Source organism: Homo sapiens, chromosome 4 (assembly GCF_000001405.40).
Source record: "Homo sapiens chromosome 4, GRCh38.p14 Primary Assembly".
In the NCBI taxonomy this organism is placed as follows: domain Eukaryota; kingdom Metazoa; phylum Chordata; class Mammalia; order Primates; family Hominidae; genus Homo; species Homo sapiens.
In genome coordinates this window covers 134,526,154-134,551,102 of record NC_000004.12, presented here as the reverse complement: position 1 = coordinate 134,551,102, position 24,949 = coordinate 134,526,154, and the positions used below count along the sequence as shown (strand labels likewise).

Here is a 24,949-nt window from a genome sequence, read left to right as displayed (position 1 = left end):
TTTCCGTGTTTTGTGATCCCTAATTTCTCCTCTCCCCAACCTCAGCTATTTTAAGAATAAAACATTTTGGCATAACACCAAAGTATTCCAATCCCTAAGGGGAACCCATGCTCACAGACACACATCTGAATACCCTGGGGTATACTGGGGAGAAAGAGAATCTAAATTTGGGCATCTGCTGTATATAAATATCCAGGTCACCACCCTACCTGCTAACAGGAGTAAAAGAGTGCCTGAACTCAACAAGTGGGTTTAGGCAAGATGCACAGTGGGGAAGGGAAACTATCACAACCTGGTGTGTCTCCCTTGGGGTTGATTAAATGTAATATTGTTGTGAATTCCACTGATTAATGTATGTTTGGTGTTGATGTTATACATGCCCATATTGTGAATGTTTATAAATACTAGACTATACTACTGCACCTAGAAAGAGCAACGTATAGAAAAGTGCTAATTCCAGCCAGGCATGGTGGCTCACACCTGTAATCCCAGCACTTTGAGAGGCCGAGGAGGGCAGATCACAACTTCAGGAGTACAAGACTAGCCTGATGAATATGGTGAAACCCTGTCTCTACTAAAAATACAAAAATTAGTTGGTCGAGGTGGCACGTGGCTGTAGTCCCAGCTACTTGGGAGACTGAGGCAGGAGAATCGCTTGAACCCCCAGGCAGAGGTTGCAGTGAGCCAAGATTGCACCACTGCACTCCAGCCTGGGTGACAGAGTGAGACTCTGTCTCCAAAAAAATATAATAATAATAAAAAAAAGAAAAGTGTTAATACCTTTGAGACCTCATACCCTAAAATATTTCTGAGCAAAAAAAAAATCCCAATGACTAATTAATTTGCCAATTAGAGCCTTTGTTAAAAAGAGGCAGCTTTTATCCAGTGCTTTTGGTATTACATTGAAAAAATCATTGCAGTGATTTATTAAGCTATGTTTTCTTTCAGGAGTTTTACCATTTCAGATATTACATTATGAATCTTTAATCCATTTTTAGTTTATTTTAGTGCATGGTTTAAGTAAGGATCCAATATTATTCTTTTGCATGTGAATATACACTTTTCCCAGCACTATTTACTGAAAGAAGTGGTTTTTTTTTTTTTCCAAGTTTGCTTTGAATGTGTGGTCTCTCATAGTTCCATATGAACTTCAGAATGTTTTTGTTCTATACCTATTAAAAATGCTGCAAGGGACTGAACATTTGTGTCTCCCCAAAATTTAAATGTTGAAATCAAATTCCCAATGTGTAATGGTATGTAAAGTTGGGTCTTTTGGGAGATAATTAGGAATGAGGGTGTAGCCTTCATCACCAGGATTAGTGCCCCTGTGAGAAGAAGCCAGATAGCTAGTTCTTTCTCTATTTCTACAATGTTAGGATAAAACAAGAAGTCAAGAGACTGGTACTCAGAAAAGTACCCCCAGCAGAACCAGGTCATATTGTTAACCCTGATCTTAGATTTCTAACCTCCAGAATTGTAAGATATAAATATTGTTGTTTAATCCGCCTAGACTATGGCAATTTGTTACAGCAGCCCATGATAAGACAAATGTCAATCGAATTTTGATAGAGATTGCATTGAATTTGTCGATTGCTTTGGGGAGTAAGGGCATTTTAATAATGTCAAGTGTTCCAACTTATGGGCACTGATGTTTTATTTGTCTATTTAATTTCTTTTATCAAGAATTCATAGTTTTCAGTGTACACGTTTTTTACTTCCTTGGTTAAGATTATTTCTAAGTATTTGATCCTTGATGTTACTGTAAAAGAGATTTTTTTTCTTTTGTGTGTGTATGTGTTTTTTTTGTTTTGTTTTGTTTTAGGTGGAGTTTTGCTCCTATTGCCCAGGCTGGAGTGCAGTGGTGAAATCTTGGCTCACCGCAACCTCTGCCTCCCGGGTTCAAGCAATTCTCCTGCCTCCACCTTCCTGAGTAGCTGGGATTACAGGCATGCGCCACCACTCCCAGCTAATTTTGTATTTTTAGTAGAGACGGGGTTTCTCCATGTTGGTCAGGCTGGTCTCAAACTCCCGACTTCAGGTGATCTTCCTGCCTCGGCCTCCCAAAATGCTGGGATTACAGGCATGAGCCACCACACCTGGCCAAGATTTTTTTCTTAATATCCTTTTCAGATAGTTCATTGTTATTGTATAGAAATACAACTGATTTTTGTGTGTTGATTTAGTTTCTTGCAACTTTATTGAATTTATTAGTTCTAGCAATTTCTTTTAATGTGAATTCTTTAGGGTTAGCAACATATAGCCTTCTGATTTAGATGGCTTTTATTTCTTTTCTTGCCAGTTTAGCTATGACTAAAACATACAGTATTATGTTTAATATAAATGGCCAGAGTAGGTATTCTTGCATTGTTCCTGATCTTAGAGGAAAAAAGTGTTTTTCTTTTTTTTTTACCTTTGAGTATAATGTTACTGCAGGCTTTTTTCATATATGCCCTTCATTTTGTGAAGAAGGTAAATTCTCTCTATACTTAGTTTGTTAAGAGTTTTTATCATAAGAGTGTCAGATTTTGCCAAATGCTTTTCCTGCATCTATGGAGATGATTATGTGATTTTTTTCCTTCATTATATTGGTGTTATATCAAATCAATTGATTTGTGTATGTCAAACCATCCTTGAATCCCAGGGATAAATTTCATTTGATCATGGTGAATAATCCTTTAATGTGCTATTGAATTTTGTTTCTACTTTGTTTCTAAAGAATAGTTTTGCTGGGTATACTATTCCAGTCTACAGCTTTTTTTTTTTCTTTCAGCTCTTTGAATATATCATTTCTCTCTCCATTGACCTGAAATGTTTCTGTTGATAAATTCACTGAAGACTTATGGAGGTTCCCTTGTATGTGACAAGCTATTTTTATCTTGCTGCTTTCATATTCTTTTTCTTTGACTTTTAACTATTTGATTATAATTTGTCTTTATGTAGACTTCATATAAATCTGTAGATTCATATTACTTGAGGCCTTCTGAGTGTTATAAATCTAGATGTCCATGTCTCTCTTTAGATTTGGAAAGCATTCATCCATTATTTCTTTAAATACATTTTCTTTTCCTTTCTCTTCCTCTTTTCCTTATGGGACTCCCATAATGTATATGTTTGTTCATTTGATAGTGTTCTATAATCCACTCAAGGTTCCTGTGCACTTTCCTTGTTTTTTTCTTTTTTTGCTTCTCTGACAAGATAATTTCAAATGAGGTACCTTTGAGTTTGCCAATTCTTCCTTCTGCTTGATCAAGTCTGAAGTTGAGGCCCTCTAGTGAATTATTAATTTCAGTTCTTATATTCTTTAGCTCTAGAATTTCTATGTACTTTTTTAGAGTTACTACTTTATTTCATGTATAATTTTTATCATTTGTAATTGTTATTGTCTGTGTTTCTTGTATCTCTCTGAGATTCTTTAAAATGATTATTTTAAATTCTTTGTCAGGCAATTTATAGATCTCCATTGTTTCAGTTCACTCTTTTGATTGTGTTATGTTTTTCTGATTCTTTTTTTTTTCTTTGTAGCTTGCATTGGTATCTGTGCAATAATAGCCACTTCCCAATTTTTCAAACTGACTTTGACTGAGATAAGTCTTAACCAATGAGCCTAGCTAGAGATTCTAGATTCTTGTTCCTAGCTGCATCATGTGTCCAGTCTTTCTTTTGTTTTGGATTTTTGTTTTTCCCAAAAGTCTAAAGTTTGGACCTCCCTTTGATGTTGATTATTATCATCCCCTCAGTGTGCTATGTGAGGTGACACAGAAACCATCCCCTCAAATGGCACTCTGAACAGGCAGGGATGTTGAAGCCAGATTCCACATCTTTCTACTTTCTGGAGGAGAAGTCTCAATTATGTATTCTCCATATTTCTCAGAGTCAGGCCAAGCCATGGAAGATGTCCATGCTTTTTAACTTTGTTTCTAGCGGTCCCAAGTATCCATACTATGCTTTATTCTGGTCCAATTTTGAATTAAATTTAGTCTTAAGAAGCAAAGTCTAATTTATACCAGTGATAAGATGTAACTGAAAGTCAATAGCTAAAGAGAAAACTGTTAATTGAGATAAAAAATTAATTAGAGCCACCAATTTATAATTCTCCTAATTGACTAAAAACAAAATTTTCAGAGTCAAATTAGTATTACTCCTTTAAATTATTCTGTAGCTATTTATAGAAGATTTTCAGAGTGATAGTGTTTCCCTTTCTTCTTCTTCTTATTATTATTATTTTAAACATGGCCAAGCTACTTTCCAGCCAGTGTGGTGGTGACTGGTAGCCCAAATGATTGTTATTTTCTCTTAATTAGGTTGAAATCTATTGCTTACAGAATCTCTGAGTAAAACCATTTTTTTAATAATGTGCAATTTTAATTTACATTTCCCTGATTGTTACTGATGTTAAGCTAATGTTAAGTGATGATGCTAATTAGTTACTTATATCCTTGTTGACCATTTTTATAACTCCCCACGCCTCCGGGCTGGGGCCAACTGATCTGGAAACATGCCTGAGCTGCGGAAGGTGGAACTGAAAGAGCCTATTAATACATAAACACCTACTCTGGGACTTCGGGGTCACAGGCAGCCCTGCCAGGGTGTTGCTGCGTTCCTCTCAATGTGACACGCCTGGTCTGGTCGTGGGCCGCACAGAGCTGACTCATGTGTGGGCGCCTGGAGCGTCTGGCGGGATCCCACATTCACCCTCTCATGTGCTCCCTCCTGCAAGGGGCTGACTGCAGCGGGCCGAGTAGATGGGGAACCCCTGCTTCAAGTTCGGCAAAGTGGCCGAGAAAAATCCTGCTTCAGTTGGCCAGCAGCTGCAACATTACAATTAGATAGGAGGAATAAATTCTAGTGTTCTGATGCACAATAGTTTGACTACAGTTAGCAGTAATGTAATGTATATTAAAGATAGCTAGAAGATAGGCTTTTGAATGTTCTCAACACAAATAAAATGATAAATGTATGAGGAGATATATATGCCAACTACATTGCTTTGATCATTATACAATCCATATGAATTAGAACATCACATTGTACTCCATAAATATGTGCAATTACAATGTGTCTTTTTTTTTTTTTGAGACGGAGTCTCGCTCTGTCACCCAGGCTGGAGTGCAGTGGCGGGATCTCGGCTCACTGCAAGCTCCGCCTCCCGGGTTCACGCCATTCTCCTGCCTCAGCCTCCCAAGTAGCTGGGACTACAGGCGCCCGCCACTACGCCCGGCTAATTTTTTGTATTTTTAGTAGAGACGGGGTTTCACCGTTTTAGCCGGGATGGTCTCGATCTCCTGACCTCGTGATCCGCCCGCCTCGGCCTCCCAAAGTGCTGGGATTACAGGCGTGAGCCACCGCGCCCGGCCAATGTGTCTTTTTTTTAAAACAAAATCATTTCAACCAGTTAGTGTTAGGGATTATTGTTTTACCAATAAAAATGAAAACATTATAAAGTAACAGGTGAAATTAATTTTAATAACATTTTATTTACTGCAACATATCCAAAATATTTTTATTTCCACTTGTAATCAACATAAAAATTATTAGTGAGATATATTAAATCCATTTTTCTTAAGTCTTCAAAATCAGCTGTGTACATTATAATACATCTCAAGTAAGATAGAACATTGTCAACAGTGGAAGTGAACTGTAATCCCACCAAAATAATAAACTTATATTTAACAGAAAAGTATATAACACTTCAGTTTTTTAATTAAAATAAATTAGAATTAAAAATTTATTACCTTTGTTACACTAGCCCCATCCCAAGTATTCAATAGTCACTTGTGGCTGGTGGCTAACTCTTGAGCATCTCAGCTCTATAAAACACTGTGGGAATAGAAATTGGAAGGAAATAAATAAAACACCTAAAGAAAGAATATATGTCTGCTTAGGTTTACAATTTTTCCAGATGTACATAAGTTGAATTTTATTTAAGTACATCAGAAAAAGGTAATGTATAATCTGAGGACAATCATTTAATAATCTGAATTACTTTCATTACTTTTGAATTTAAAAATCCGTCCCTAATTTGTATATTTAAAAGAATTTTTATGGTATAAAGCTAACATTTTTATCCCTTATTAAATAAAAGTTATATCATAGTGTGATCATAGTCTTGATATATAATTATGAAGACTCAACAATAACTTTTTTAAATGAATAACTCAGTCATAAATATAAGAAAATGCAGTTGTAATTTCTCATTAGATTGACTGTAACATAACCATAAATTAATCATTTAATCTTGTTTTAAATGTAAGTACATTACAACATATACTAATATATTTAAGCCAAAGAAAGGTTATATGAGTTTAGGAGGCAAAAATGTGATACAAGTGATACATATCCTAAGAAACGTAATAGCAGTATTGTGTAACTAATTAGAATTGCTTTTACAGAGAAACTGTATTTTTAAATACCTTGCAGATGATGCATTCTGCAATTTTTATTGCCATCAGCTGCTGCAAATGGTGAAAAAATGAAGTCCCACAGTCTTGTCTAGTTCTCAACTGCCACATTGTAACTCCACCATAAATCACATTCTCCTGGCCTCTTGAAACTTCTCCATTTTCTCTCTGAGCTATTGTCTTTCAGAGAATGGAGTTCAGTTACTACATCTGGCTCCTTGCCCTGGATGCTGACCAGTTTGCTTCTGTGACATTAACCTGGTGCCTGAAAGTCTGAGTGTCGAGCAGGTTGACTCATTTACAGTTTTCCATTATGTAGCTCTAACATTTTATGTTGTTTCCTAAATAATAGATGTAGTATAGCTAGCCTAGTCATGGTAAAAAATACTGCTAGTATCACTCAGTGGCTGTGTAATAGTGTTCCTCACCTTGAGTAACCTGATATATGTTCATATGTTTTCTTTCTTTCAGTATTTTCTGTTTAATCATTCGTATGCCTTAGAAGAAGACTAGATTTCCTATATTTGGATGGGTCACTCCTTTTTGTCTCATTCTATCATTATTTGAGCATGTGAACAAGAAGTTATTCTACTGCTATATTATCATATATTGCAATTTATGTGAATTAATTCCAGTAAATAAGATTATTACCATATTAAATAGAAAGCTATAAAAAGATCAGTTATTCTATGAACATAATTGATATTCTTTTCTTTCTATAGTGCATTAGTAAATAAAGGTTTTAGACAAGAATTTTAACTAAGCATTATCTCAGAGATTACCACCTAGAAGCTTATGTGTTTAGGTGTGTTTTTGTCTGTGTCAGATGACTTTTAATTAGTCCAAAGCAAAATAAAAATCAACAAAACAACAACAACATTAAGAATACATTATGGAAGCAAATAGCCAATTTTTAATTTTTTTAATTCATTTTAACGATGAAAATAATCACATTCAGACAACTGATTTGAAGATGCCTGCATGTGTATTCTCTAAGTTGAACTCCATTTTATTTAATTACTTTTGAAAGCAAGGCATATAAGTGTAAAAAAAAAAAACAAACTTGATTCGGCAAGAGAATATATTTAATTGTTTTTCCTACGGTAGTCAGCAAGAAAAGGATTAAAAACTCAAAAAATACCTCATTTTAAATCTAACTTAAAAAATGTTAATACTTAATCTGTTGGCCAATCACTATATATGTACATACATATGTTTACCTATAATATATGAATGCATACACATATTTAAACATATATATGCAAGTAAACATGAGTGTGTATGTACACACATACATATACTTAGGAGAAATAGGCTACTATATTCCTTTAGCAAAAATGTAATAGTACTGTGTTGATTATGATATTTAAAACTCTTCAGAGAATGTGACACATGTGGACAAAATGTTACAGTAAGTCTTCTTTGGTAATTCAACTAGGAGTTGACATATCTCTAAGTATGCTCCCCTTTAGTCGCTCCTTCTTGTCATCATTCGAAAATTAGTCTGAATACAGAAGGCTATTTTTCAAGAAGACATTCATCAACACTTATTCTATTGTAATTTAAGTTCCTTTTTCTTTTAAGGAAATTGCTATTGAGTTATAGTTCCAAGCCATCCTTAACAGCACAGTTACTAAAACTGATTTTTCATACATATTCATAGGCTAAAACCTTAAAGACCATTGCAGATTTCAAAATGATACATCAATCAATGTCATAGATTCCTGCTTAGCAAACTAAAAAAAAAGTATAGCCTAATATTTTCTTTACAAAACTATTACTGTCCACCTTTATGCAAAACATTATCAAAACAACAATTTGTCATATATATAACAAACACACACAGGGTTGTGAGATAAGCAAACTACTAAAAGAAATAACTCTTTATTCAGCTTCCTGCTCTTCAAAGTCAATATACCTTGAGGCAAGTAACAGAGTTCTGAAAGCACAAAGTAATGTAGCCCTAACTTAGGATATTGTTGAACTTGATTTGGCCCAAAATAGTAGGTAGCAATGTAATTTTGCAGTGTTTCATATCTTCTCATGATCCCTTGATAACACATTTTTCTTACCTATCAACACCAGGACATGAACTTAACATAGGAAATTGTCGATCAAAGAGTTTTGTGTTGAAACACTATGGAATAAATTGTTTTATACAAACTTGTTTACTATTCTTTTCTAGTTAGAGAAAAAAATGAACTGAAAATCCAACATAATAGCAACAATAAAGAGAGATACAGCAGTATGATAAGGAAAAGGATACAAGTGTTTAACGACTGAACTTAAATCTTATTAACAGCAATATAATGAAACAGCTATTGAAATAACCTGATTGTCTTATTAAATAATGCATAGAAAAGTCTTAATTTTGATAACAGCACTATGGAATGCAGCTTTTTATTAGATTTTCCTTCTACCTGGAGAATGCTCAAGGCTCAAGAATTCCTGAAGTCTCATTCTAAATATAACCTTATCTCATACTTGCTTATATTTTTTATAAAGAATGTTCAAACTAATTATAGAGTGTTACAAATTTATGTCTAGCTCATCTTTATATTCCCAATGTCTCACATATATTCACAATGTCTTCTAATTAAATCAATAAGCATCAGAGTTGGCAAGAGTGTTAGAAATTATCTCACGTTCATTTTATATGTATTTTAAAAGATCTGAAAATGAAGTGTATTTCCCAAAGTCATACAGTGAATTAGGTTGAATTGGAATTGAAACTCATGTTTTCTTGGTCTCTGGCAAGTGCAGGATCTTTTTTTCATAACGTAATTTTACTTTCTTCTGGATGTTGAATGACATATCCTAGATCATAGCACAAATTACGACATAATAAACATTTGTCATAATATCCTATAAACTTGTTTGTTAGCCAAGTATCATATAGTAGAGGATGTTTGTGGAGGCAAAGATAGCCCTTCCAAGACCCTTTACCTTAAGCCCAATGTGGAAAATCTGTCAACAAAATGCTCAATCTTTTCTTTGCTATCATGACATATCTCTGAATTTTAAGCGCAAATTAGATTTCCTTCTACCAAATTATATCAAAAGATGTGTTAAACACTTTTAAAAGTGAAAAGGAATCTGATTAGCAAAGCTATATCATCATTTTGTTGTATTTCCAATACTTTATTCAAAATTATTTTGAAGATGTTTTCCATATAAAAATGGCATTTAATTCACTGCTGGAGAAGATAAATTTCTTATGGCATAACTTCAATAAAACTGGTTTCTGCAATATTCTAGTTATTATTCTGCCAAAGACATTTGGGAAACTGGAGGGAAGACCTAGACTCTATAGATATGAAGTTTCCTGATAATGTTAGCTAGTAACATGTATTGATTAAAAAGAGTAATGACGATTTTTATCAGGTAAAGTCTATTTATTAACTAGTATATGTGTTTACAGATCAAATCCATTTAAAATGCAGCCATCTATCTGCTGTAATATCTAACTGCAGATTTGTGTATACCTGTATAGGAAAGTACATATATACAATTCACGTATACATAAATACCAAATCCTGACCAGTATTACTAGATGTTTTTCTGCTTTGTTTTTCTCCTGAGAAATTTCAACTAAACGGACTCTGAGATGAATATATTTTATATATCTTGCCCTTTCCTCATATACAACATTTAGTAGGTTTAGGTAAAATGAGTGTTGAAGTAAAAACATCCCAGATGAATTAAACTCACCCTTGAAGGAATCCCTGTAGAGTTGGGTAAAGGCCAAAATTTGAAAGAAATGATTCATTTTGACTAGGAGACCATAGCGTCCAAATATAAAGCATATTTATAAGAGTTCTCAGATTTGTGCCAGGCTCCTTAATTGAATACTGCAGTTCTAATACGCAATGGCTAACAATTGTGAGGATCTTTATATGAATTTATAAGTGAATAAAATGTCATTTGCTTTTTGAATTTATTTTATAAGCCATTATACCCACAAAACATTTTTGTTTTATTGTGCTCCATTTACTTATTTCCATATTTGTAACTCAGCCAAACTACTTATTGAATTTAATATTTTCCATTATGATGGCCATTTTAAACATTCCAAGTTTCTTTTGACAGAGGATTAAAAATCTGTCTTTCTCTTCCTCTAAGGACACATAATTGTATTTTCCTCCAATTGTCAGTAGTAAATACAAGTTGAGTACTAAGAGTACATGGACTTATTTTGTAGTATTGCAAGAAGCTAGTATGCAAGAAGCTAGTGTTGTTTCATGTCTCTACACCTCTTCAAAATTACTTGGAAGTAAGTTAGAAAAAAAAGTTCCTCAAGAATTACAAATACATGACGAACTTATGTGCGATCAAATGCAGAAACAAATAGAAAGTAACCTAATTTCTATCTGTTAAGAACTGAGCAGCATCTGAGAATTTATTCTACTTACGAGGTAATAAGCTAGTTTGCTATAGTTTCATGGATATTAGGAGACAATATAAGACTCCTGGATTAGAGATAAAGGACTTTATAAATTACAGCAAAAACAGTAGCTGGAACTTCCTAATGATATGTGTTAGGTTCCCCATGTTTTCCAAGTACCAAAGAGGTGATCCAAAAGGTCCATCAAGGATGCATGCCCATGCAGTAGATTTTATTACAGGAGAAATATGAGCTTGCTTTTACAGTAAGCAGAAGCAAGCCTGGTCTTTGTCTAGTCTGAGGGTGACAGATAATGTAAGCTTACCTCATCTCTCAAGTTTAGTTTTTGCAAAAACAACCATGGGTAAAGAGTGGTCAGGGTCTCAAATTCTTCGTATGTCAGCAAAAACATGAAGAAATGCTCAAGGTCCATGTCAGTTGCCTCTCTCAACCCTTCCTTAGTAATTTTTATTAGCTTTTAATAAAGTTTAAAGTCTTCAAATTCTTATATTTCATAGTCCATGAAACTCAAGATACATATAGGTCTTTTAACTAGCATGAAAGAGGTTAACAAAATTTAAGGAATTGAGAATGCAAACTATTTTAGAGATTATTCAACGCTATGGGGGTTACTAAGGATTAGCCATAATTTTAAACATAAATTCAAATAGAAAAATACTAAGGAAGGCCTGAGAGGTCATTATCAGGAATATCTTGGTTGGTACCATTACGAACACAAGAAGAGAAATGTTCTCAATATGCCTAGAACCTGTCTGACACATGGTGCTGTAGAAGGTGGTCAGAAGATAATTAAAGCTGTAGCCTCTTAAATAATTTTAATAATTGCTATAAAAATCCAAGATATAAATAAATATTTTTACATGCTTTCCCTTTAGAAAGGTAAGGGAATAAAGAAATGTTTATTTTAAATAATCTATTATTGCACTCTAATTTATTAAAAATATAGGAGAGAGAATATATGTGTGTATACACACCTGTATTTTTTTTTAAAGTAATACTGTTTTTATTCCCTTACTGAAGAATTTAAACAGGTGAACATTACCTTAAGGCAGCACTGTTTTCTTATGCCATTTTCTACCAAGACACTAAAGCAGAGAAAACTAACTTTATTCAACACTTGTGTATTTTAAAAGGATAATGATTTCATCTAGTTAAAGCTGTCCTGGCCTACTTAGTTTATTTTGGGGAAGAAATTGCCTGCTCTCTCATGATAACATAATTTGTCACCTTGGAAATTAAATTACCCATCCTTGTTTACCTTGAGGAGTTGTGCTATGTAATACCTACTTGCTCTATTACTACCTTTATATCAGTATGTGCTCAATTTTATGAGAACATGTGTTGAATAATCAAACCCTGCTGGGAGGCTTAAATAGCACACAAGTCCTGTTCCCTAATCTAAGTTGAACTTGATAGATATATTTGGGGAGTTTAATGAATCTAAAAATAATTATCCATTTGATATTAGGATCTCATATGGTAACACATGCATCTCTAAGAAAAAAAAAAAGTTTATTCCATAGCATACTGACTGAACTCTAGCTTAAAATAGGTTGCATTTTCTAAATATTTATTATTGGCTTTTTGTGACATTCAATTAAAAAGATACAGCTATAGCAATTGTTTTGTTGAATGAACGTATTGGAGATCTAGCTGTAAATACCTTCAATTAGAAGTAATGCTTCTTATTTCTCTCTGTCCTTTTGTAAAATGTTGAAAACCTTAATTATTCCTCATTTCCTTAGAATTTAAACATTAAAACCCTTATAATTGCTTGTACTCTGTCTTTAATTTTATTTTAGAAGGCATGGTAATAGTCTTTCATAGACGGAATAGCTCTCAAAATTTATTGCATGAATAGATTTACAGAGAGCTTTTTAACTGAAATGATTTTTCAAATAAAAAAATAGTTGAAGGTGTTTAATGGCCTAAATAAGCAGTAATCAACAAATGAGGAATTAAGAGAGTCATTTTCTTCTTTTTTCTATGAATAAAAATATTCTAAAGAGTGTAGTTAGAAAAATCTCTCTGTGATTGCCAGCGAATAAGAGCCAGGAAGTATTTACTGACTAAAGGACTAAGTGTGAGCTGTAAGACCTTTTTCTTTTTTTTTTTTAGACAGAGTCTCTCTCTGTCTCCCCAAGATCACTTTTTTTATAATGTAGCATTCTGGGCTAGATTATGCCTCTCCAAAATTTATAGATTGAATTACTAATCCCAGTAATTTAGAATGTTCAGATTAGGTCATACTGGAGTAGGGTAGACTCCTAATTCAGTATGACTGATTCCTTATAAAAAGGGGAAATTTGGACACAGACACCTACACAGGGAGAAGGCCATATGAACACCAAGGCAGAAATGTGCTTAACAAGCCAAGGAATGCCAAAGATTGCCAACAAACCACCAGAAACTTGGAGACAGGCATAGAACAGATTATCCATTACAGTCCTCAGAAAGAATTAACTCTGCCATGCTCTACTGGAACTTCTATTGTCCAGGACTGTGACATAATCAATTTCTGTCATTAAAGCTAACTCAGTCTGTGGTACATGATTTTGCTATAGCAGCCCTAGAAAACTAATTCCTTTCTCTTTTGAAAAAAAAAAGTTATAATTCTATATTATTTTTGGGTTGTATAGTGCTTTCCATACATTGTTACAGGCAATCCTCCGAATAATCTTTTGAGATGTTCAGGCTGGGTATTCCAGTTTTTTTTGAGGGAGTTTCACTCTTGTCACCCAGAATGGAATGCAATGGCACGATCTCAGCTCACTGCAACCTCCACCACCCCAGTTCAAGCAATTCTCCTCCCTCAGCCTCCTGAGTAGCTGGAATGACAGGTGCGCACCACCACGCCTGGCTATTTTTTTGTATTTTTGGCAGAGATGGGGTTTCACTATGTTGGCCAGGCTGGTCTTCAACTCCTGGCCTCAGCCTCCCAAAGTGCTGGGATTACAGGTGTGAGCCACTGCACCCCGCCCAGGCTGGGTATTCTTATCCTTATTCTACACGTAATTAAATTGCTCCTCTGGCAATTTAAGAGAACTGGCAAAGTAGCGGAGCTAATAAAAAGTTCAAGAAAGATTGACACTAAGCTGTCAACACAAATTCTATGCTATTTGTTAAATCAAACGGTAACGTGTATTTTTTAGTATAACTGTTATTTATGTTTTATTGATTGATTGATTGATTGATTGCCTCCGTCAGAGAGAAACCTCATTGTATATATAGTGTTCCCAGAAGAGGATAGCTAATAGAACAGGAAAGAATAAGGTGATTGCTGGATGTAGATGCTTAATCGTCTTGGCGAATATCTTTCTCTATTTAGATTAAAACCCAGCATTCTAGTTAAAAGTAATTTCTAATAAATCTCATATTCTGAGAAAGGAAAAACTAAAGATTAAGGGGGTTTGAGTGAAGTTTTTCCTTAGCTGTTATATTTCTCTTCCTAATTGATGTAGTACAGACATGTAAACAGCAGACATGAGTTTTGTGTGAAGAAAAAACTACTCTCACAGGCTGGAAAATCAGACTTCAAAGATACAAGGCTGAGTCAACGTATTGTTTGTGGCAAACTGAGAAGAAGAATTACCCCGGTATCCTGCATAAATATTTCTAAACATTATTTAAAAATATTTTGCGTGTAAGAATTCCAAGAATCCATCATGGTGATCTTCATGGTTATGTAATGGAAGGAGAAAGAAGTAGCTTTAAGAAATGGAGTGTTGAGATATTAAGTTAAGATGAGAATTGAGAAATGCCCGTTGGGTTTAGTAATGTGGTGATCACTGATAAACAAAACTAGCAGCCATGACCTGATCAGAAACGGAAGAACAAGAGAAAACAAAGAAATGACTTTTTTTTTTTTTTGAGATGGAATATCACTCTGTTGTCCAACCTGGAGTGCAGTTGTGTGATCATAGCTCACTGCAGCTTCAAACTCTCCGGCTCAAGCAATTCTCCTGCCTCAGCCTTTTGAGTAGTTAGGACTACATGCTCAGCTAATTTTTCATATTTTTTAGAGATGGAGGTCTCACTGTGTTGTCCAGGGTGGTGTCAAACTCCTGGCTTCAAGTGATTCTCTCATCTCAGCCTCCTGAGCAGCTGGGACTATAGGCCTGAGCAACCATGTTCAGTTCCATGAACTCCTTTTTAGTTTGAATAGCTGGAACGGGACTTACAGTTACTGCTACTGACATCTTATTTTTGAGTGGTGGAGTCAAAGCAGCAGTTTCCTTGTCAACTGGGCATAACTATTTGAAGACTCTTTGAAAGTACAGTGGTATATAGTATGTGAGATTAATTCATATTTTGCATCTGTGTAGAAAAACTATGGGAGGGTTATGATCTAGAGGATAATTTAGTTAACTATTTCTTTACGCTAATCCTGATTTCCACAATTCTTTTTAAACAGGAAGAAACAAAAAGTCTCAGAAAGGGCAAATATTGGCTTCAGGGTCACACAATTAACTCAGATCACAGTCTGTAATAGAGTGCAAAATTTTTTCATGATTAAAAAGGCCAAACTTGCCTCAATGTTTTCATAGTTGCTGGGTTAGAATTAAATGGTACAGTACATTTTCACTAACCATCATTTCTAAGATACTTTGTTAACAATAGTTGTCAAGGTCTTTTATGTAAGGTTAGGTGATATATTCCTCACTGATGTTATGTTAAGAAAAAAATTATCTCTGCAAGTATTTGCAGGATATTATTTTTAAATTAATTTGAAGATCATATTTTCTTTTCTCTTAGTTTTCAGAGAATCTTAAGCATGTTTCTAGCACAAGATTTTCTTTGTTTTGTGTTGTTTTGCTTTTTATTGCATTCAAATGCCTTAAAAGCATATGTTCCGCTTCCTTCAGACAAATAATTTCATTGTTTGAGTTTACTTTTTAATTATTTAGTTTTATATTTCCTAATTTTTTTTTTTTCATCTCTGAGTCTTTTTAAAAAAGGTATAGATCAGGCTCACACCTGAAATCCATCATGGTGGTCTTCATGGTTATGTAATAGGAGAAAGAAGTATCTCTAAGAAATAGAGTGTTGAGATGTTAAGCAAGATGGAAATTGAGAAATGCTTGTTGGGTTTAGTAATGAGGTGATCACTGATAAACAAAACTAGTGGCCACGACCTGATCAGAATTTGGGAGGCCAAGGCCAGAGGATAGCTTGAGCTCACAAGTTCAAGACCAGCCTAGGAAACATGGAGAAACGTCCATCTCTACAAAAAATACAAAAATTAACCAGGCATGGTGGTGCATGCCTGTGGTCCCAGCTACTCAGGAGGCTGAGGTGGGAGGATGGTTTGGGCCCTGTAGGCGGAGGTTTAAATGAACTGCTCCGCCTGAACAACTGAAGGAGACCCCTGTCTCAAAGAAAAAAAAAAAAAAGAAAAAGGCATAGTAATCATCTTAAATAAATGTAACAGCTGTGTATTTTTATTCTACATCTTCCCTCTTCTAGAAACTAATGGAAATTATTCTACAACATATGCCTTTAACTGTAACTTATTTTTTTTCCCTACCTTGGAATGAAAAACCTGACTCTTGCTGTTTATTTGAACAGATTTTTTTACTGAGAGCATTATATTCCAAACTTCTTCAATAATATCAATATCTTAAATGCTTGAAAATAACCACACTATTAAATGAAAAAGGTGGAAGTGTGGGAAAGTAAAAAAAGTGGAAATTATATGATGCTTGCATAATTTTGTTACATGGATTTATTGCATAATGGTGAAGAAAATTTATATACATAAAATAAAAACAAATACACAAATAAATAACTATCTTGTATACTTTCAAAAACTTCAGGATACTTCTAAATCACCTCAATTTATGAATATAAATATTAATAAAAACTTTCATAAATGGTTGCACTTCTGCATGCCTTTGTGTCTGGTGATAATTACTATCACTGGGATACTCAATGATCAAAACTTTTATGACTTTGAAAAATTCTGTCGTGTTTTTTGTCTAAGCATTAATCACTTTCAAGGAAATCTTTAGCAAATGGGTATATCCACCTCTGGAGAGCTTTTCGGTATCTAGTCATTATATTTTATTTAATTTTTAAGAAAATTAACCAAAAGATTTCTAAAATACTGTAAGCTTTGTGCTATTTTTTGAGAGTAAAAATAACCCCCATTTTAGCTTATCTGCTTTAAGATATGTTCTAAAAGCACAATTTATTTGAGATGATTGAATATAGAAATTCAGTCCATATATATGAAGCATGAAATCTAACATATAATCTTTCATTTTGTAAAATGAAATGTTTTTTATATTTTGACATGATTTATTATTTGGAAGCTGCTAAGCTATCCAGCTGTATGTGCTCAATCTAAGATTTCATTTGTTAATGAAGTTTTATTTTGTCTTGTTAAAAGTTCCATTTTCAATATTATTTTAATAGAATTTTTAAAAAGTCCTTTCAAATCTCCTCAAAGAGCAACTTTTCCTGGAAAAAATAAAAATCGAAAGCTGTTGTTAAAGTACAAATGACATAAGGTTACAATTACATTCTATTATTATAATCCACTCCTTATCTCTACAGGCTAAACGTGAGTACATTTTAGAAAAAAGTAGCAAGAAATAATTTAGCTATTATTTCCTAGATTTGTAAATAGTAAAACAAACAAAACAATTAATTATCTTCTAGAATTTAATGTAAGAATGACAGCCCCAATTTTTTAAGCATTTTCCAAACACTTCCATAACTTTTCTGCACATCTTAATATCATTCCTTCTTCTATATATTAAAAATTGGTCAGAAAGACATTATATAGGTTCTGTGTGGATTTGTAGTTTTTTCATTAGTAATGTTAAATCATACTATAATCTGGCCTGAGAAAGACTTTGTACTCTCATACTCGAGTTCTTACTTATGAACTACAATCTTACTTAGCAGGTTAACAAACAAAAATTCTAACTTAGGAGTATGCTTTTGCAGCAATAGTTGAGCCTCAGCCAATCACAGCAGCCACACTTCAACCACTCAAAGGCAACCAGCTGTTCAAACCATGTTCGAATAAGGAAATGCTTAGCTGTAACATATCCAGCTGTCTCTGCACCTCACTTCCACTTTTTGTACATCACTTTCTTTTTTCGGTTCATAAATGTCTGTCCATGCAGCACCCCTAGAGTCTCTCTAAATCTGTTCTGAGTCTGAGGGCTGCCTGATTTGTTCATCTTTTTTTCTCAAACTCTGTTGAGTTTCATCTGTCTAAAGTTTTACTTTAACAGATCTGGTGTCTGAAGTAAGGATCAGAAGTAAAACTCCAGTGATCCCCAGATCACCAGGCAGCCAGGCAAGATACCCATGGCGACAGTGTGCTTATGCCTCTCTTGCTTGTAACTGGAGGTCTTGGGTGAATTTTCTCTCAGATTCAGAGCTTTACTCTTCTGTTCTCAGCTCTCTGAGTTTATTTTAGCAATATTTATACTAGACTAGGTCCAGGATCACACTGGATGCTGTAATGAACTTCATTGAATTAAGTTAGAGGGCTCAGACCTTGGATAAATACTCTTTTTTGGGTATGGGATCTTGCTCTGTTGCCCAGACTGAAGTGCAATGACTAGTCATAAGTGTAATTATATTGTACTACTGCCTCAAACTCCTGGGGTCCAGAAACTCTCTTGTCTCAAGCCTCCCAAGAAGCTGGGACTCCAGTCATGTACCACCCTGTCTGATATGGTACCATTTTGATAATGGGTTTGTCTTAATCCATTGAGAAAGTGGGATGCCAACTTCTGGGACTCTAGCTAATAATATATAAAACAGTCCAGGAGTGGTGGCTCACGCATGTAATCCCAGCATTTTGGGAGGCTGAAGTGGGTGGATCACCTGCGATCAGGAGTTCGAGACCAGCCTGATCAATAAGGTGAAACCCTGTCCCTACTAAAAGTGCAGAAGTTAGCTGGGCATGATGGCACATGCCTGTAGTCTCAGCGACTTGGGAGGCTGAAACAGGAGAACTGCTTGAACCCAGGAGGTGGAGGCTGAAGTGAGCTGAGATCGCCCCACTGCACTCCAGCCTGGGTGACAGAGCAAGACTCTTCTCGAAACAAACAAACAGACAAACAAAAAACATATACAGGCCCAGAACATGTGCATGTTTAGAAAAATGGGTTAACTTTACTCGAGACAACGTAGAATTAAGATGGCCACAAATCGTGATGTGTTAATTCAGATGAAATTGTTTATTTGAGATAAATGTAAAAAAAAAATGGAGATAAAAACCCTAGCAAAAACAATAGAATGTATTCTTAAATTAATATGCAGAGGCATCTCAAAGACTGAATGAATAAAAAAGTGCCTCCTTAGAAGATTCTTTGCAAAAAGCAAATGAAAAGCTTAAGCAACAGACTAAAGACATGATGGAGGACAGTACTCTGACTGAGCTCTGACTGAGCACTGACTGTTCCTTCTCTTTTTCTGTCTCTACCTATGTACTCCAAGTCTACTAACCATTCTTCTAAATTATCCTTCCATTCTGAAGATTATGAACAAAGAAAAATTAGACAAATGCCTTACACAGTAAGACCTTCTGATCAGCCAGTTCTTCCTGACACAGCCTCTTTTACTCCATGATCTAAACTGAGCTTAGAACCATTGTAAAGTATTTCCCTGATCCAAAGGAAAGCCTCAAAACCTTATGGTAGGATTTAAAATCTTCATAAGAGCTTATGATCCTGGACTCCATGACCTTTACCAATTTACTCACATGATTTAGGGGCTTGGGAAAGCTTGAAACTGGATGGCAGCAGAGGTATAGGTCAAACCCAAGGAGGTTATTAAAGGTTCCTCCAAAACCTCATGAAAAGTGTCAAAATGAGCTAGAAAAATTGCTGAAAACCTTTTAGATTCAATTCCAAAATTTTTCCACAAAGAATTGATTGGTCCATTATACAGTCATGTAAACCAAAACCAAAACAAAACAAAAGATAAGCCAATTTTATATTATAAAACTTGCTTAGAATCACTTCAAAACATTCTGGGCTCCAAGAATAGCAAGGAGTATTTCCTGAAGGGACTGAAATGGCATTAACTGCTCTATTTATGACTCTGTCGTGAACTTAGCAGTTCAATTAAAAAAACATAAACTTGGATGGGAAGTTCCAGATATGACTGAATTGCTGACCTTAGCTGAACATTTGAAAGGACTCTAGAGTGTAAAAACAAAAAACAAAAAACAAAAACCCAAAAGTCTAACCAGCTTATGTCTCTCCAATTACAAGAGTTAAGGGGCCAAGACCAAAGGGACCTTCTCATCCTTATTTTAAATCACAACCAAGAGGTCCTAGAATAAGAAATTTTTTACCCTGAGATGTCTTCCTTTATTGCAAACAACCACAACACAGAAAAACAGATTGTCCATTTTTATATAAGTCCACCAATAAGCCTCCCTTTAGGCCAGATGGTGTCACCACTAGAGGAAGCCCAAGATATTTAAGCTCTCATGATAGTCGTGAACATTGATGAGGATTGGAGGGTTTTGTCAGTAAATTGGTCCACAGAGTATCCTTAACTAAACATAACAAAACAAAGATTAAAATAAATGAGGTATCCTGCACAATCATATTAGATACCAAGCCACTTTGTTTACCATGAACTCCACTTTAATAAACCAACAAATCCCTTAGAGTAAAAAGGTCATTTCTGTGGTGAGAGTTTTGAATTAAATTCAAGAGTTTCCTATATCTCAGCCAGTCTAATTGACTTTGGGGCCATTTCCAAGAAAACACCTCTTTTTATTATGTTATACTGCTCTAGTAAACTTGCTAGTGTAAGACTGACTTTCAAGCCTGAAAGGGCATATAAAATTCTCCTCAGAAGGAAAAATAATCTTAGAGTTTTCTGATTTTCCTGAACCGGAACTGTTATGCTCTCTACAGGCAGAAATGGGCATCGCCAAAACTCAGCCTGTAATACCCCTGACCCTTCTAAAGTACCTGAATGTTTATGGGCTTCTTCCTCAACTGATACAGAAATAATTAATAGTGTGGAACCTATACAATTCATAATAGATTATTCTAAACATTTGTCTAAGTTAACCTAATATTTACGAAATCTAAAGCAATTCAAAGGCTGTCACCAAATGTAGAAGATTTAATTAAATAAGGACTTAAAATTCCACGAAGCAATCCTTGTAACACTTCAATCCTACCAGTTGAAAAACCAAATGGTCGACGTTGGAGATTCCTTTAAGATGGACAGGCAATTACAATTAATAAAATTGTAATACCAAAGTTTCCTGTAGTCCAAATCCTAATATATTATTACCTAATGGATCCACTGATTCGAAGTGGTTCATGGTAATAACCTCTGCTAAGTCTTCTTAGCATTCCAGTTCATAAACAGAGTCAATGCTTGTTTGCTTTTACTTGGAAAAATCAGCAGCACACCTGGACTGTAGTGCCACAGGGGTGTACTGAAGCCACTTTGCATTTTTCTCAGGCATTGCATCAGTACTTAATAGCCCCACTGTTTTCTTGAAATTCTATTCTTATTCAGTATGTAGATCACCTGTTGTTATGCTCCCCCACTAAAGAAGACTCAGAAATTGACTCCATTTGCCTTTTACAGCAACTCACACATAAGGGTCACAAAGCTTCAATAGAAAAACTTCAGTTTTCAAGAAGAAGGTCCACTAATTGAGACATGACTTGACTGCTGAAGGTATTTCACTTTCGCCTAAGAGAATAAAAACTGTTTAAAGCATTTCTCAGCCTGCAACCAAAAAACAAGAGGTTCTCTTGGACTTACTGGATATTACAGATCATAGGTTCCAAAATTGTCCTAAATGACCTCATCATTGTATGAACCCACTAGAAATGCTGTACCAGAGCCATTACCTTAAGAAGACAGTCATGAGCAGGTTTTTAACCAAACGTAATTGGTCTTACAATAGCCCCTAGCTTTAAGACTAGCAAATTATACTAAACCTTTTATTTTATTCATTTATGAATGTAACAATCAGGCATTAGGAGTTCTTATGCAAGAATATGGAGAAAAACAGGGCCATTACATATTTTAGACTTCAGCTAGACCGTGTAGCTGAGGCATAATCCCAATAATTTAAAAGCAGTAGCAGCAGCAAAGTTGGTAGAATCTTCATCTGAGCAGGTTTTAGGAAATGAACTTGATTTGCAAGTCCCACATGCTGTGGAAAGTCTATTAAATTCCAATGAAACTCAGCATTTTTTCAGCAAGATCTTACAAAATGTTTCTCCTGTCTTCTTCTAATCTCTATCTAAAATACTGCAATCTACTTAACTACTATTCTATTACCTCTGCCTAATGATAGTGAAAACCACAATTGTGTAAATGTAATGTCAGAAATAGTGACCCCTCAGGTTGACTTACAAGATATTCTATTGGGTAATCCTGAGTCACTACATTTTCTTGATGGGTCCTGTGCTAAAATCTCAAAAGGAAAATGTCAGGCAGGGTACGCTTTTACCACCTAAAATGAGTTAATAGAAAAGGGAACTCTTCCTCAATATAAGTCAGCTCAACCCATGGACCTTTTTGCTCTCACCTGAGCTTGTTATGCAGCAAAGGACAAATAAAATATTTTATACTGATAGTAGATATGATTTTGCAGGAGTACATAACTCTGGCATGCTATGGAAACAAAGAATTCTCATTTCCAGTGCGTCCCTCATCAAAATTGGACTCCAAGCTGATGAACTTCTCTGTGCAATCCTGTTACCATCACAGATTGGCATTATTAAGATTGACTGTCATACCTGTAGAACTAAACCTGGCTATTAAGGGAATGCTTTAGTAGATTTTTCTGCTAAATCAGCTACTGCAGAAATGGTTAGGATATACAACCTAAATGAACTCCATAACATTTGTTCAAGTCAACACCCTTATGATGACCTATTTAATAAACAGTACAATGCACCTGATTTAGAAAAGCAACATTATCTAAAAGAGTGTAAATTAAGTGTGGACTCAAAGTCTCAAATGGTGTCCTGGTCCTCCCTGAGTTTTTTAAGCTTCCATTGTCAAAAGCTTTGTACTCCAAACTCATCATGAAACAGAAAATAATGCAAATTATAAAAAACTACTAATGGGGTGACTGTTCCAAAATTTCTAAGAGTTCATAATCGATGTATGGTTTATCAAACTCATAATCCTAGGAAAGAATAAAAACTTTAAGTGGTGTATTTCTGCCACCTGATGGACCATTTGTCATTCGTGTGATATTACATTTACAGATGGACTTCATTCAGTTGCCACGCTCAATGGGATATCAGTGTGTTCTTGTAATAGTCTGTATGTTTTCTGGTTAGGTAGACACTTTCCCATGCAAGAAAGTCAATGCTGTGACAGTAGTTAAGAAATGATTAGAAAATATATTTCCATCATTTGTCATTCCTGGAGAAATGCTCAGTGATAAGAAAACTCATTTTACTAGTAAAATTATACAGCAGTTAAATAAGGTGTTATGGATGCAATGGTGCTACCATTGTCCCTATAACCTTCAGTCTTCTGAAAGGGTTGAAAGGAAAAAAAATGGCATCTTAAAACTGAAACTGGCAAAGTTCACTGAATCAATTGGGTTGCCTTGGCCAAAGGTTCTGCTGCTGGTTTTAATGGCAATCAGTTGGCACTTAAGACCTTACACACTCAAGAATTCAAGAAAGTCATGGGAAGACCTATTACCCTAATAAAAGAAACTCATGCATCCCCTGTTCTCCTAAACTGATATGACTAAATACTACAAGACACTAAATTGTTGTACCAAAATATACTTTTACCAGGTAAAGGAAGCTTTTTGTGATCCACCAAATGATGATAAGAAAACTGTTCATGATATAGAATCTGGAGATTGGGTCTTCTGAAAATGATGTGAGAGAAAGATTGCCCTTGGACCCTGTTGGAAGGGACCATACCAAACTTTTCTCACCACTCACACTGCAGTAAAGCTTCAGGGCTTCAAACCTTGAGCTCATATCTCATAGTTAAAAATAATCTTTAAAGAGTCTTAGAACTTTATACCTATTGGAGACTTTAAGGTAAAGCTGACCAGAGAAATTTCTCCCCAGAAGCATACAGTATCCTAGATGTGGTCAGCTTTCCCAAAATCACAAATGAAGACTTCTCTGCCACCAAAAAAAAAAAAAAAAAAAGCCTATGCCTTTTTTTTCCCCTTTTGTCCTCATTTCCTGCTGTCCTAATGCTTTCTTTTACACTAAAGTACATTCCATGGGACCATGTTAAGTGGATGGCTTTTGCTCAAGTTTATTTCTTAGCATAAACCATAGTAATTGTTGTCTGGGCTAATGCCCGAAAATTAGAAAACAATTTTATTGATATCAGGGCCTATTCACATTCCCAATGAGAGTCACTCTGAATCTCCAAAGGAAGAGTGGAATGTTATACTTTATATTCTAAATATCACTGCTACTTGCTTCCTGTCACTCACTTGAATACTCTAACTTTTCCAATTAACAGCCTAATTGTCATCAAAATAGAAAAACCTTTCTGAATGAATCCTACAAAAGGCATATGTGTTTTTAGGCATCATAAACTCAAGACCTGGGGATGACCTATGGGAGCACAAATTTCTTGTACAATGTCACTGTATTAAATTCATTCTTTTTTTTTTTAACAAATGTGGTTATATACTCTTACAGCTTGCTTTAAGGGGGACACAAAAAAGTAAATTTCCCAAGGACCTTCTTCAAGAGCTATAAAAATTTATGGATGAACAAATTTAACTGACCCCTGCTCAAATGCAACTAGATGGACCTTTTTTTTAACCCCTAAAGGCCTATATTAGGTTTACAGAGAATGTGCTTATTTTGTTCTGTCTCCTTGCTGGTGCAGATATTTCTATTTGGTCTTGCTTATTGCTGCTTTTAAATAGCTTTCCTTGAAATTTTTCGTAATAGCATCTATGATCAAAGGCCAAAACAGTTAATAACCAAAATTAACACCAAATTTGAAGTAGACATAGATAAGCTATTTCCACTGAGGAAAGTTTCTAGTGGAGTTTCTGGAGACCCACTCTTGGTGGTAATGGGATACTGATTGTATGGGGTTTAAAGTTAATCTGTAAATTGGGGAAAAATCTTGGATTTTGTAACCAATCAGACCTACCAGGTCTTCAGACAAGTAGAAGCGT

General features: G+C 34.9%; 1 long non-coding RNA gene across 1 annotated transcript in view, besides 1 other annotated feature; it reads right to left on the bottom strand.

Annotated features, from left to right (window-relative positions):
- Nucleotides 1–5,598: 5,598 nt before the first annotated feature.
- LINC02462 (long intergenic non-protein coding RNA 2462) overlaps nt 5,599–24,949 on the bottom strand; it is a 121,637-nt gene continuing 102,286 nt past the window's right edge. The window contains exon 4 of the long non-coding RNA NR_147155.1: nt 5,599–5,817. This is a non-coding gene — a long non-coding RNA (long intergenic non-protein coding RNA 2462). The remainder of the gene's footprint in view (nt 5,818–24,949) is intronic.
- Nucleotides 21,255–21,549: a silencer, noted in NCBI's record as "tiled region #8780; HepG2 Repressive non-DNase unmatched - State 24:Quies". NCBI's record gives its function as "represses a minimal TATA promoter and a strong SV40 promoter by Sharpr-MPRA in HepG2 cells {active_cell/tissue: HepG2}" and the evidence as "EXISTENCE:reporter gene assay evidence [ECO:0000049][PMID:27701403]".